Source organism: Homo sapiens, chromosome 18 (assembly GCF_000001405.40).
Source record: "Homo sapiens chromosome 18, GRCh38.p14 Primary Assembly".
Lineage (NCBI taxonomy): Eukaryota > Metazoa > Chordata > Mammalia > Primates > Hominidae > Homo > Homo sapiens.
Genome location: NC_000018.10, coordinates 63,907,718 through 63,923,775, shown reverse-complemented (window position 1 = coordinate 63,923,775; position 16,058 = coordinate 63,907,718). Strand labels below are relative to the sequence as shown.

At 36.3% G+C, this 16,058-nt stretch overlaps 1 protein-coding gene across 4 annotated transcripts in view; it reads right to left on the bottom strand.

Moving 5' to 3' along the window:
* The window catches only part of SERPINB10 (serpin family B member 10), a 28,154-nt gene extending 12,336 nt beyond the window's left edge, over positions 1 to 15,818 (bottom strand). For 2 of the 4 annotated variants that reach the window (NM_005024.3, XM_017025793.2), the window contains exons 1-5: positions 15,736 to 15,818; positions 8,098 to 8,274; positions 6,255 to 6,320; positions 5,674 to 5,811; positions 3,871 to 3,988 (exon numbers count right to left, since the gene is read on the bottom strand). In NM_005024.3, the coding sequence (NP_005015.1) occupies positions 3,871 to 3,988; positions 5,674 to 5,811; positions 6,255 to 6,320; positions 8,098 to 8,265 (490 nt within the window). In that variant the 5' untranslated portion in view covers positions 8,266 to 8,274; positions 15,736 to 15,818. Of the gene's footprint in view, positions 1 to 3,870; positions 3,989 to 4,551; positions 4,701 to 5,673; positions 5,812 to 6,254; positions 6,321 to 8,097; positions 8,275 to 13,505; positions 13,580 to 15,735 lie in introns of those variants that run through there. The other 2 variants (XM_011526027.2, XM_011526028.1) reach the window with 2 other exon arrangements.
* Positions 15,819 to 16,058: the final 240 nt, after the last annotated feature.

Genomic DNA, 16,058 nt, shown 5'->3' with positions numbered 1-16,058 from the left:
AATTTCAAATTTGTTTATTGGAAGTACTGAAGGCAAGAAGGGACAGAATGAAAAGAAGAAAATCATGAAATAAATAATATACACAATTTTGTTTACCTAAAGGCCTTTATATTTAGATTTAAAATAATTGCCAGCAAAGTTATAAAGTAAATAAATAAAAATAAAAAGACCCCTGCCTAGAACATAATGTTGAAACCTCAGAACACCAAAAAAGAAAGAAAAGTATTCTAAAATCTTCTGGGGAAGGTTCAGGGTGCAGGTTTGTTGTTTTTATTAATGATGCTGGATGCTACTATCTAAAGGAAAAATGAAGACCTTGGAGAAGACCTGTTGAAAGCTCAAGGAAAGAAGTATCTTTGAGATGGTTCAGGTAGAACCTAGTCATGCCAAACACCCTAGCAACTTTCCCTTAAGGACATATGGAACTCTGCCTCGACAAAGTCTAAGTTCCTAAAGAACTAATTAATTCCTTATTTTATTTCATGTTGAATGCTTCCAAATAGCAGATATTTGTGTCCAAAATAGAAAATACAGAAGGATTACAGCTTTCTCCCTCTCTAGACAATTCTGCTTCTGAGGAATAGAGTGAGGAGGGTCAGCTGGAGGAATGAAATAATGGGATGTGGCAAACAAGGCTCAGTAAAAGATTCGAACTGTGTCCACCATGAGCTTATTTTTTGGTGCCTCTCATTTGACCAGTGGTATGATAACAGAGAATTTTTTAAAGTGTGGATGTCCCATACTGTGGCCATATAGTACTATAATCTGCAGTCTGCCCTTTCTTCCATAAAGTAAAAGATTATTTGCTCAGTTCTTCTTCAGAAATGAAACTTCTAGACTTATGCTGTCTAATATGGTGGCCACTAGATTCATGTGGCTACTTAAATTTAAATTAATTGAAATGAAATAAGTTGAAAATTCAGTTCCTCAGTCACATTAGCCACATTTCAAATCACCTGTGTTCACATGGGAATAGAAGCTACTCCACTGGACAGTGCAGATTTATGGCACGTCTCCATCATCATAGGAAGATCTTCTGGACAGCTCTGTAATTCAGACACCTGGATTTTGTTATGTACCTTCAGTGCATCAGTCTAAGCTGGGGAAGCAAGGCAAGGACCAACCCCTAAGAGCCATGCTTATGTGGCACCAGACAACAGCTGTCTTCTTGGCTCTAAAAGGCTTTGCTAGGATGCAAAGCTAGCAGATTAGTTGCCCCAGCCTTCCAATCTGTAGGATCCCTACCTGATTTCCAAACAACATAACAGTCACCAGGCTAGGAATCTAAAACATAACATTTTGCCCAACTCCAGCACCATTCTTACTCCTACTCCTGCTATGTTGAATTTGTGTTTAGGTCATAACATACTTTTGCCTGTACAATCAAATGTGGTCTCACACAAGCTACAAAAGTGCAAGTACCTAGTAACTGCTAGCTAATCTATAATTCTAAACAAAACAAACTTATTTTCAGATGAATGCAAATCAGGATGGAAGTTAAATATCATAGTCACTCTTGCTTCACCACGGCTTTTGAGTCATGGGCTCAATGTAAAAGGAACTGAGCACTTAGGGCTGCCAATGTTATCAATTCATTCCAATAAACATTAATGTTCTGAACAACTGCTATGAGCAGGCCTGTTATGTGTGATTTAAAGCTGAAGGCAGAGTTATCGCACATAGAGTCCTTGAGTCTAGCAGGGGACATAGATGTATAAGCAGTTAGTTTTGATAACAGTGTGGTAAGTGTCAAAGTAAAGGTTTGCATAAATGTCTGGGAGCAAAGAGGAGGATGTTTAGCCTGAATGAAGCCCTGAGAAGTTATTTGGGGGCAAAGGAGGGGTTGGGGGTGGCAGGGCAGGGAACGGTATTTCAGATAGAAGAAATGGCATGAGTACAGGGCCATTAAGTAGCACAGGGAGTTCGGGACATTCTATGACATGTAGAATCCCTGAAATATAAATTTTAATCCAGGGAGTGACAAGAGTTTAAGTGGAGAGACAAGCAAGGCTCCACAGTCATATTGGCCCTTATATGTCTGGTTAAGGGCTTTGTGTTGATCCCATAGGTCATGGGGCAGCATGAATCAGTTTTGAGTAGAGAAGTGACATGGCCTATCTGGTCTAATTTGTATTCTAGGCAGGTAATTTGGGTGGTAAATGGAGGTTAGATTTGAAGGGAACAAGATTAGAGGCAAATTATTGCATTTGTGCAGATAAAAGATAGCGAAGAAAGAAAGGCTGTGGAGGAAAGGAATTGAAAGGAAAAGTGAACTCTGAGAAACATTTAAGAGGAAGCAAAGGAAAGGGTAGAATTTAGAGTATGTCTCAGATTACTGTTCTGGGCAAGTGTGTGATTGGTGTACCCATTCACCAAGATGGAGAATACATGAGGAAGACAAGGTCTGGGAAAACCATTCTGAATGTGATTTCAGGTATGGTGAATTTGAAATGCATGGGACCCTTGGCAAATATGTCTAGCAGGTGTTTGTTATGAGCCCTGAAGTTCAGAGGAGAAGACAGCAAAACATTCCATGTGCTTAGACACAAAGCAAAGGCATCATCATTAATATTCATTAATGACAAATGATGAATTAATCTTCATTAAGTCATGAATGATTAATTAATCTTCATTAATGATGATGCCTTTGTATTTCTTCATAAGATATAATATAATATCAATTGAAATGTTGATTTAAAAGGCAGCATGGTGTGTAGAAATCAGTTCAGACTTTGGAACTAAGCTGACTTATATTCGAAATCCTATTGCTGAAGCTTTAAACTGTGTAATCATAGATAATTTCTCTAAAATCTCAGCTTCCTTATTTCTAAAATAAGGATAACAATAAAAGACTGTTAAATTGCCTGGGAGAATCCTTCTACTACTTCCTTTTAGAAATAAAACCCTGAAATTTAGGTGACAAATGGCAACCCAGCTGAAAACTCCATTTTGCAGGTCTTTCTTCTAGCAAGTATGGTGACTGGAATTGACTGGAATGTGGTTGGTCACTCTTGCCTGGAATTAGGGGCTTTTTGATCCTAAAACTAGGAAAGTCACAGGCAAACCAGAATGCACTGGTCACCCTAGCAGAAAGTGTGCTATGGACTAAGTTTAGACCAGTGGGAGATGAGTGGAATTAACATGTGAAACTTCCAGGGCATCCCCTTAAAGACAAATTAGCTTTTGCTGAAATTTCTTTTCCCCACTTCCTGCTGCTACTACAACTGGCTATTGTAAGAACCATCTTGCACCTAGAGATGGAAGCCATGTATTGAGGATGGCAGTGCTGAACACCAGCCTGGATCTCTGGATGGCCTTGGGAGGCAAAATGCTCTCTCTAAGCCAGGATGCCTAACTACCTTTGAACTATTATTTGAGAGAAAGACATACTTGTGTCTTATTAAGCCACTATATTTTGGGTCTCTTCTTTAGAGTAGTTTAATCCATACTCTAACTGATACTTGAACTTACTTTGAAAAGTATTTAAGATTCTATAGCACATTTAATGCCACATTTCTGTTATTAGTAGATATTTTTCCTTAAAAACCATGCATGTGGCAGTATTTTCAATTTCCTTTTTGCATTTTTCTGCTTTTTACCCTTGGGCTCTTCTTTGGAATTAGTGGGAGATGATAATTTTCTTGTCTATTTGGTAAAGTGATGGCCTGACTTACTTGTTTTAGATAAGACTTATTAGGAAGGCAGTGAATCTAAAAATTACGTACATGAATAGAAATAAATGTTCTGAATATTTACAATGTGTCCACACTTCTATTTAAGGAGTATACATACTTACATATGACACAAACTAAAATAAATACAAGGATGTTTGGGAAAAGCACGCTGCCAAACCCCTTGGTGAAAGCTTACCCTCGGTCTGTCTTTCAACCCAAGAGTTGATGTCCTTTCTGATTTGATCAGAAGCTTCCACAAAGTTAACAGGCTGAGGTTCTGCACCAAAATATGTTTTCATGTCTTCTAAATATTTCTGAAAGACATAGATAAAAATCCCCTTTTGTAGAGTTTGTTCAAAATTGAGAAATCAAATCTATTTAGATTATCAAAAGAACTAGGTAGGCGGGCAATTGCACACTCCCACACCATCACTCCATCCTCTCTTTCCTGACTCCCAGTTTTGGTCAAAAACTAAACACCTCACTCTTCAAACTTAGCAGGGCACTGGCTAGCTATGCAGAGCTCCAGCTGTGGAAGGAAGTACGGATGCCCACATTTTTGGGGCTTCCACATCCTCTTCCTTTCTATTTTTATCCATGCCTTGAAATGAGGCTAGAATGGAAAGGGACTACAAATAACAAGAGTGACCCCAGTGGCCAAGAGGTACTGGGCATTGTACTTGACTTTTTATGGTAGGTATGAAACCAAAGTGAGGCTTGTGATACTGGTAGCTTCCTTCTGTGGATTCTAAACAACAAGAATCTTGTGGAGGACCCTTGAAGAAAATGATATCCTGCCATGAAAATGGATTTCTAAGCAGAGTTGAATGTTATATTAGGCATTCTGAGGCAAAAAAAAAAAAAATGAGGCCTTCACCTCCTCCTGGTCCTCTGATGTTCACCCAGTGGCAGTCATCACATGTAGGCTATGACTGAGTTTGCTGTTATGGAGGCATCTGCCTTGGGAACACAATTTATTCTTCAAGACATTGTAGTATTCCTTCAATTTGCTTACTTTATGCAGGGCTTGTAGGAGAAAAAGTGATGAGTTAATTCTGTTGCCAGGAAGTGGCTTGAAGATTATGAAGTCTAAATTCTGTGGAATTTAAAATCTAATAAAAGGAAAACTTAAATATTTTTGAGGGACCACTGCCTGTCTTAATTCAGGGCTTGTGGACATATAAAAATATGTTTGTCTCTATCTCTGTGTCCCTCTTGTTTCTAAGTGCCCACTGAGTCAATCATGTCTCCTACTTCTGCATCAAACGAGAGTCCATGAGCCTACAAGAAAGGAAACTGTCTTTAAGATTCCATTTGGATGATTTTATGTCTTTAGTAATAACAAAGCTCAATTCCTGAACTCCCCAGAATTCACTAGATTTGAACAGAGATAGCATTGCTTGAAATCACAAGGTAGCTTTATTTTATCTTATTGCTATTCTTCTACCCTATCTAATTTCCTTGCTCTTTGCCCACTGGACACACGGGTCCTCCTGCCCAAAGAGATGTTGGACAATGAAGGAAATTATTGACCTGGGTTGTCATGTGACCCTCTTAACAGAGGACAGAGTCATCATGGTCTGCATTGGTGGGGTTTCAACCCTTAGTAAAGAGGAGAGGTTGATATTATTTCATGTTTCATGTTCCCAAAGTCTGTAAAGTCTTGATGTGAAAACTCCTCACTTCTCTCATCCCAAGGTCAGTTTTGCTCTCAAGTAGACAGTCTCCAGCCAAGTCTCCATATGTATTTGTAGGCCATTCTCAGGGGCTACCTCTTTATTCTAGACAGAAATATCTGATTCCTAGATCTGATTTGAGACCTGTTATTGGTTTCCTTTACCACTAGACACTCATTGGTTGGTCTAATTGATTGTTTGCAGGGAAGTACTGACCACATGAAGATTGTCCCTGGATCCCTAAAGAAATATACAGAGTTTACTGATTGGTCTCACATTGCTCTTTCTTTTCCATTAGCTTAAAATAAGACATTTGCACTTACATTGTGAAATGCATACGTTTTCTCTCCATATATCGCATTGGCTGTTTTAAGTAAGTAGTCATCGTTGGGCTTGAGGATTTCTGAGATAAGTGTTTGGAAATCAGAGTGTATTTCTTCCGAGTTGCTCAAGTTGAATTCCTTTAAAAGAGAAGGAACTAGTCAAATAAAATGTTGAACAAGAGTTACGTACATGTTAGCAAACTAAAGCTAAATAAAATTATTTGGGGAATTGCAAACAAAAGTTGAAAATGTTCCTAAAGTGGATAAAAATGTTTTCTTTAGTGTTAGTGCAAAAGAATGAAATGTTATTGAGGCCATAATTTTCTTCACATTTAGTTTGCAAAAGCAGGCAAGGAAAAGTTTGAAACTAGAGAAATTTTTAGAGAGATTAAAAGGGCGTGGGGACAAGAGATCTTTCAAAAGGTGTAGATATTTTGTATTCCAAAAAAAGTTTCTGTAACTTTAATATATGTTTCTAAGAAAAATTACCTGCTAAAAGTTGCTTCAGTTATCACTAAAATACATGTGCTAAAAGTACTTTTTCCTTAATTATGAAATATATATTAAAGGATAAGATATACCATTTTCCTTTTTTTTTCACTTTCAGGGTCACATTTGACTCCCTGGTCTCTGTTAAATTGAAGCACCTGTAATTTCAATAAAAATACAAATGAATAGACTGCAGAGAAGTAATTATATAAATCATACATCATCTGTAAATACAAGTCAGTCATTCCTATAATTGCAGAACATATAATTAGTTAAACAAAGGGGCTCTGACTTGACTTAATGTGTGTAATAAAATAAGTCAAGAACTGCTCTTAAATAAATTTTCTAAAGTCGAATTTAAGTTGCTAGTCTCTTTATTTTCCTATGTTTTGTAACTAGAATGATGTTAGGAAAACCTTGAGGTAAAATTCTCTTATTTTCCGTATTTCCTTTTTACTCATGGTTGTTTTAAGAAGAATGCTAGGTGTCCAACTGAGACCATCATTTAGACAGTTTAGGTAAAAGCCATAATTATGTGGAAAATTAAGGAATTTTAGTTGTTTTTTTTCTAGTTAAATGCTCAGTTCCTATTGTCTACCACCACTTGACATATTTAGGCGCAATGTTTGTGTTTACCCCAGCATTTCACTGGAAAGTTAACAGGAAAGATGTAGATACTCTTCTTTCCTTGGAATTGTACAACAATAGAACAGAAGGCAATACTTTTATCTGCCAAGTCCTGGACCCGGCTGACAATAAGAAATACGGTATACTGCTTCAACGGTTGCATTGACCCATGTTAACAGAACAAGGGCCACCTGCCATACATAAAGGGGTGCACAGTTAATTCATGAGGCCCATTTGCAACTAAAAGTGTTAACATCCGAAACAAGGACAAGCAACACCCAGCAATATATTTATATGAAATAGATTCACATTGGAATCCACTTAAGATTGTCTATCACATTAATGATTAAGACTTTTGAGCTAATGAACCTGTCATTAACAAGTTGTGAACAAGGATTTTGTTGTTGCTGTTGTTGTTTTTAAACCACCTGATATCTTGTGAACTACAAGAGTAAGGATGTTATCCCAAGTCCAGACTAATATAGCATGTGTTCTGCCCACTTCCCTCAGAATTACCAACCGTGTTCATATCCATACTTTCTGAGGAAGTCACCTTCTTGGGTGAAAATTCTGTCATTTGGCCTTTTGGTTTTGCAAGATTTAGGGCCGAGTTTACTCCTTCTGTTTTTTTTTTTTTTTATTTAAAATCACATTTATATATACATATTGTTGCATATATATATGTATTCATATATATTTTTACACACACATATGGCTATTTTGCTATCTATGACTACATATATATATTTACATACGCACAATGTTTTGAGGATGCTTATTGCAAAAATAGTTCTGTATATAATAGTATTATATTGTTATTGTAATGATCTTAATGGGCTCCTTAGATTCATTCAGATAACCAGGGACTAAACAAAGAGAGAATCAAACAAAGCATGAGAAACAGAATTCTTTTATTTTTCTTTTTTGTGTCTTCAAGAAAATCCTTATGTGATTATAAAGATGCTGAATAATTCTATTATTTAAAGTTTGACCAATTACTTTTTGAAATAATATCATCAAAATAAAATTGGTTTTGGTGTTGAACAAAAATTGATAACCTTATCCTTTCTCCATTTTATTTTGCTAAAGGACACAGGTTCTCAAATGGTTTTCCTAGCAACAGTTTGCAAATTGATTCTCTTTACCAAGATTTGTTTTATGGTATAGAATGTTTTAATGTATGTCTTGTTTTAGAGAATGTTATTGTGAAATGTAAATTATTGAGTTGTCAAGAGAAAACTGAAGTTAAAAGGCAATGAAAGCACTTAGCTTACAAGAAACAGAAGATAGTTGACCTTTTCCACTCACCTGGGCCATTTGGGCTGCAGTGGTACCTTTGGCGCCCAAATACACTATGGTCAAGGAAGTTGAGATGCTCCAGGAAGAAAAGAAGATATTTTTACCCTGAGCAGATTCAGCTAGCTTTTTGCTCAACTCCAGGGCAAACTGGTTGATTGATGTTGCTAGAGAGTCCATTGAGGAAACCTAAGAAAAATAAAGCAAAAATTAGAGAGCATATTAATATTTATTTCCACTTCACCTTTGAAAAAATATGTATTCATAGTTGCATACATATCCATATACATTGTCATATGAGCTGAATAGACTTTAGCAAAATTCTAGTCCAATAATAGTATTTTATATATTAAAACACTGAAGTTTAGAGAATTTACGGGAATTGCCTCAAATTTTAGTGCTAATGTGCATTAGAGAATAAATGGATGCTGGTCAGTTAAAAGCTGAGTCCCATAACATAGTTTTTGCCACTCTCTTGACATTTTTCACACCACCAGTTTTGTTTCCATGTGTTTGTATCTAGTTTTTCCAACTCCAGCATAAGCTTATTGAGAGCAAAATATTCTTTTTATGCTGCTTCGTGCACCCAACAGCACCTAGCTAAGGATTTTGCACAAAATGGGTGCTTGTAAATATTTATTACTCATTTACGATATTCACGGTTTGGGCTGTAACTACCATTTTTAATTTATGCAAACATGGAATCATGCACAACTAATTGGAAAATGCTTGTAGAGAAATTGAGAAGTTAAGACTGTTTGTCTTTATTCTCACTCATTTGAGACCCTCTGAAACTAGTCTTCTGGAACAAGAGTACTCAGTTTTCCTCATCTTTTTTGATATTATACTCAACATCTAAATGTCATCTCTAATGGAAGCAACCAAACAGCTGGCCAGCCTACCACACCTGCATGTACCTGGCCTGAAAATGACAGGTGCCCCAATCCACAGCAAATGTGCACCACCACCACTCCATCACAAACACTCACAGCTTGGACCACTGAGGCAACTGCAGACATTATTGATGAAGACTACAACTGAGGAAACTGCATGGATATTATGCTACCAAGTCCACCCTAAACCAAAGCCAATATACCATACCCAAGCAATACCATAATATTTTAATTTAAAAGCCTTTTAAAACTAGGTTTCTATAGTTAATTCCATCTATTTTGATTTTATGGCAAAATAATTTCTCGAATAAGTTAAACGATTTAACCAAGTGCTAAGGGAATCTGTTACTGCTAGACCAGCCTTACAAGAAATCCTTAAGGAAGTTTTAAAAATGGAAACAAAAGAATGATACCTGTTACTTAAGTACGTAGCACACACACTTTATAAAGCAACCACACAATAGAAACCACAAAGCAACCAGCTAATAACTTCGCAATAGGATCAACACCTCACATATCAATATTAACCTTGAATGTAAATGGGCTAAACACCATATTTAAAAAGCACAGAGTGGCAAGTTGGATTAAAAAACAAGACCCATTAATGTGCTGTCTTTAAGAGACCCATTTCACATGTAATAACACCCATAGGCTTAAACTAAGTGGTTGGAGGAAGGGCTATCACACAAATTGAAAACAAAATAGAGCAGTGGGTGCTATTCTTATATCAGATACAACAGGCTTTAAGCCAACAAAAGTAAAAAGTGACAAAGAAGGGTATTATATAATGGCAAAAGGTTCAATTCAACAAGAAGACTTAACTGACTTAACTATACTAAACGTATATGCACCCAACATTGGAGCACTCAGATTCATAAGACAAGTACTCTTCAACCTACAAAAAGACTTAGACAGACACACAACAATAGTGGGGGACTTTAACACCCCATTGACAGCATTAGACAGATCATTGAGGGAGAAAACTAACAAAGAAAAACTTGACCAATTGAACTTATTAATAAACATCTACAGAATACTCCAGCCATCAACCACAAAATATACATTCTTCTCATCTGCACGCGGAATATACTCCAAGATTGATTACATGCTCAGCCATAAAGCAAGTCTCAACAAATTTTTAAAAACTGAAATTGTACCAACTATACTCTCAGACCACAGTGCAATAAAAATAGAAATCAATGCCAAGAAGATTTCTCAAAACCACAGAATTACTTGGAAATTAAACAACGTGCTACTGAATGACTTTTTGGTAAACAATGAAATTACCGCAGAAATCAACGTCTTTGAAATAGACACAGAGACATAACATACCAAAGTCTCTAAGATGCAGCGAAAAGCAGTGTTAGGAGGAAAGTTTATAGCACTAAATGCCTACCTTAAAAAGTTAGAAATATTTCATATTAACTATCGAACATCAGACCTAGACGAACTAGAGAAACAAGAACAAACTAATGCTAAAACTTCCAAAAGAAAAAAACATAAGTAAAATCAGCAAAACTGAATGAAATCGAGACCCAAAAATCCATACAAAGAATCAACAAAACCAAAAGTTGGTTTTTTGAAAGTATAAACATGATTGATAGACTGCAGGCTAGATTAACAAAGAAAAAAAGAGGAGATATAAATAAGCACAATCAGAAATAACAAAAGTGACATTACAACTGATCCTGGAGAAATACAAATGATCCTCAGAGACTACTATGACTACCTCTATGCACACAAACTAGATAATCTAGAGAAAATGAATAAATTCCTGAAAACACACAACCTCTCAAGATTAAATTAGGAAAATATTGAGACCATGAACAGATCAATATCATGTTTCAAAATTGAATCAATTATAAAATCCTACCAACCAAAAAACGCCCTGGAACAAGTAGATTCACAGCTGAATTCTACCAGATGTACAAAGACAAGCTGGCATCAATGCTGATGAAATAATTTCAAAAAATTAAAGAGGAGGGACTCCTCTCTAACTCATTCTACAAAGCCAGCATCATCCTGATACCAAAACCTGGAAAAAACACAATAGAAGAAGAAACCTATAGGCAAATATCTCTGATGAGCATAGATGCAAAAATGCTCAATAAAATCCTAGCAAGCTGAATCCAGCAGCATATCAAAAAGTTAATTTACCACCATCAAGTAGGCTTTGTTCCTGGAGTACTATATTGGTTCAACATACAGAAGTCAGTAAATGTGATTTACCACACAATTAAAAACAAAAAACATCTGATCATCTCAATAGAGGTGGAGAAAGCTTTCAATAAAATCCAATATCCATTCATGATAAAAACCCTCAACAGACTAGGTGTTGAAGGAATATACCTCAAAATAATAAGAGCTATCTGTAACAAACCCACAGCCAATATCATACTGAATAGGCAAAAGCTGGAAGCATTCCCCTTGAGAACTGGAACAAGACAAGAATGCCTACTCTTTACCACTCCTATTCAACATAGTACTAGAAGTCCTGGCCAGAGCAATGAGACAAGAGAAAGACATAAAAGGCACCCAAATAGGAAAAGAAGAAGTCAAACTATCTCTCTTCATTGACTATATAATTCTATACTTACAAAACCCTAAAGACTCCACCAAAAGCCTCCTGGAACCGAAAAATGGCTTCAGTAAAGCTTCAGAACACAAAATCGACGTACAAAAATCAGTACCATTTCTATATACCAATAACATTCAAACAGGGAGCCAACTCAAGACTACAATTCCATTTATGATAGCCAAAAAATAAAATAAAATAAAATACCCAGGAATACACCTGATGAAGAAATTGAAAGATCTCTACAAAGTGAGGTAAAAAAAAACACTGCTAAAAATCATAAATAATACAAACAAATGGAAAAACATTCCATGCTCATGGACAGGAAACATCAGTATTGTTAAAATGGCCATACTGCCGAAGGCAAACCTCGGATGGAATGCTATTTCCATCAAACTACCAACGTCATTTTTCACAGAATTGGAAAAACTATTCTAAATTTCATATGGAACAAGAAAAGAGCCCCAATATCCAAAGCAACCCTAAGCAAAAAGAACAAACCTGGAAGCATCACTTTACCCAACTTCAAACTACACTATAAGCCTGCAGTAACCAAAACAGCCTGGTGCTGGCACAAAAACAGACACATAGGCCAATGGAACAGAATAGAGAACTTAGAAATAAAGCTGCACACCTACAGACATCTAACCTTTACCAAAGTAAACAAAAACAAGCAATTGGGAAAGGACTCTATTCAATAAATGATGCTGGGATAGCTGGTTAACCATATCCAGAAAAATGAAAGTAGACCCTACTTTTCAACATGTACAAAAATTAACTAAAGATAGACTAAAGACTTGAATGTAAGATCTCAGACTATCAGAATCCTAGAAAAAAAAAAATCCAGGAAACGCCATTCTGGATATCAGTGTTGGGGGAAGTATTCATGACTAAGTCTTCAAAAGCAATTGCAACAAAAAACAAAGTGAGACCTAATTAAACTGAAGAGCTTCTGCACAGCAAAAGAAACTATCAACAGAGTAAACAGACAACTACAGAATGGAAGAAAATATTTGCAAACTATTCCACTGACAAAAGTTTAATATCCATTATGTACAAGGAACTTAATTCAACAAGCAAAAAACAACCCCATTAAAAAATGCCAAAGGACATGAACAGACACTTCTCAAAAGAAGACATACAAGTGGGCAACAAACATGAAAAAATGCTCAACATCATTAATCATTAGAGAAATGCAAGTCCAAACCATAATGAATACTACCTTGTATATGTCAGAATGGCTATTATTAAGAAGTCAAAAAACAAGAGATGCTGATGACGCTGTGGAGAAAAGGGTACACTGTTGATGGAAATGTAAATTAGATCAGCTACTATGGAAAGCAGATTGGAGATTTCCCAAGGAAGTTAGAACTACCCTTCAACCCAGCAATCCCATTACTGGGTATACATTCAAAAGAAAATAAATCATTCTACCAAAGAGACACACACACACACACACACAAGTGTTCATCACAGCACTATTCACAATAGCAAAGACATGAAATCAACCTAGGTGCCTATCAGTGTTGGATTGGATAAGGAATACCTGGTACATACACACCATGGAATACTATGCAACCGAAAGAAGGAATTAAATCATGTCTCTTGCTGCAACATGGATGCACTAGAGGCTGTTATCCTAAGCAAATTATGACAGGAACAAAATACCACATGTTCTCATTTATAAGTGGGACATAAGCATTGGGTACTCATAGACTTAAAGATGGCAAAAATAGACACTGGGGACTACTAGAATGGGGAGGCAGAGAATGGAGAAAAGATTGAAAAACTAACTATTGGGTACTATGCTCACTACCTAGGTGATGGACTCAATCAAACCTCAACCTCAGCATCACACATTATACCCTTCTAACAAACCTGCATATGTACCCTCTGAGTCAAAAGTAAAAACTGAAATTATTTAAAAAATAAAATAATTCAAATTCTTATACCTAGGAAATCTCATTAATGCCAAAGTTGTGTAGAGTTAGGTCTTGCATGAACGTCACCTGGCCTTCTGAGAAACCTAGAATGAGAGCTTTGGAAAACGTCAGGAATTCTCTATACTCAAATAACTTAATCATGAGAGAGGCATGTGTAGACAAAGTTTTGGTTTCATCATAACTTGGAGTTAATAGTGATACTGTGGGAATCCCCCCTAGCCATAAACTTACACTTAACCAAACAGCTTCCCCACCTCTAAATCATGCCCTAGGTGTGGCTCCTGTCTACTCCAAAAGCTTATGATAATCCCAGGCTGACATTATTTGATTAAATAGAAAACAAAAAAGACTGTAGATCTGTAGTAATTCTACACTCTCATAAAATATTGAATATTTGCCTGTGACTTTCTTCCTCAACAGATCAAATGCCATCTTCAAAATAACTCTGTATTTCCTTTAAGGCTCTTACTCATTCAAATAACATTTTGTTACCTGCATACAGTATATATCAAGCTTTGTATTTTTAAAACTCATGAATTAAATTTACACGGAAAATGTTTGGTTTTTGGCCAAACCACACTCTTCATGAAATGGGGAGAAAGTACCATTTCAGAGGCTGGGGTTTTTCTACCTCAGTGTATGGTTATTCCAGTGTTTATTTACTTGTAACATGTTCCTGAAAACAATAATTCTCTATTATAAAAGCTAATTTCTCATGTAAGCTTAATATTTAGTTGTACTCATCTTCATTAATTCCCTTATTAATATCATTATTTGTATATCAGATGTTACCCAGAACATACAAGAGAAACAATTCTTTATTTTCTTTTTTTAAAGAAATCTAATGAAGTACTAAGCCATCCATTAGTGATATTTAACCCAACAATGAAAAATACTTTCTGAAGGGTGTAGAATTGTGAGGTGAAATTTTACAGGAAATAATTATTCCATACAAATGTTGGACAATTATATTTTCAGAGAAGACTGCAAATGTGTAGGTCAGAAGTCTACCAGGTTATTTTCAAAATTAATTGCTCTTTTGCAGTTTTCAAGAGCTATAAACTGATCATCTATGAGCTTAACCTGTAGACAGGCTCAGAGGAGAAGCCAAAGAGAATTAAGAAAGCAAGAAAAGGATAGTGTCATTCATCAAAATGTCTCATCATAGACATTTCATCATCGCATGCCCCTAGCACATCAGTGTTGGAAAGACCCTTAGAATCTCCCTAACCCAGCTCCCCCATTTTGTCTGCTAAGAAACTGAAGCTGAGAGAGGTTGATTGAGCAAAGGATGCACAGCAGAGTCAAAACTGCAACTGTGTTATCTTGACTGTGAATACAGTTGCTCTTGCCATTGTATCTCATTGTGTTTAAGATTTTAGTGGCTAAAGAGAGAGATTACATGATGGAGAACCATCAGGAGGAGAAAGAAGATCTGGAGAGTGGGGAGGATTCTTGTCCCGTTTTCCATGAGACACTCCCAAGGGCCTCTTGCCTTTCTGATGATACTGATAATATTACCTCCTCATGGAGTTGTGCATATCAGAGAATGACAGCTTCCCCAATCCCCAGCACCTCTCTATTCACCTAAGGCCTTTTTTAGAAACAGGTAATAGTTTGGGGTGGTTTATGAAGAGCACCTAGTATGATGTGGGGGATTAGGAACATTTATTATTCCACAGAAGAGAAGAAAGCTAATGGCCCATGAAATGGTGGCCAGGAGAGGAGAGTGGGGTTTTGGGTTTGTGGGGGTAACAGTTAAAGAGTCAAACCATGAATTCCATATATTAATGAATAGGATCCAAATTCAGGGTGCCAAGCTCACATTTCCTAAAGAGTTGAAGGGTTTTGGCTCAACCGTCCTGAGAGAATATTTTATTTATCTCTGCCTATGTTGACAGATACATAAATGTGACTGGAGGAAACTCCACTGATGATTTCACAATTCCCAGTAAAACAAGGAGCAAATTCCACTCCACAATTCCTAGAAAAACAATTTCTCTAACTTTTTTTGGGAATGAATGTTCTTTCTCCCATATCCCTTTTTCTAGTACAAACTTCAAACCAGCTCAGGTTACTCTCTGACTTATACAGACAAATTCTTAAGGGATTGGGCCTTATCTATTATTTCTGGACTTTTTTGGGGGAAGGGGTCTTCATTATTTGTTACCTAGCTGGGCACTTCAACCAAGAAGAAAAACATAAATAAAATCATTAACCAAAGAAATATTTACAATACCTTGTTTTCTCCCACTGGAGCAGAATTGGCAATTTGCTCCTGTAGTAAGAGATTGTGGCTGAAGAGTTGAGAAACTTTCAACTGAAGAAATTAAAAAAAAAAAAAAAATTTTAGCACCTCCCTGTTCTTAGCTCCACCCTTTGATTCAGTTTCACAAGCATGTATACTCTTTCTTTCAGGCTTATTTTTGTCAGAAGTCTCAATAAAAAGACAGAAAGAGACAGTTAAGGGTTTGCCTGAGTTGTTTAGTTACTCACATTTTCCATCTCTGTACACATGAGAGACCTGGATTCTGACAAATTGTAACTCATCCTTTTTTTGCT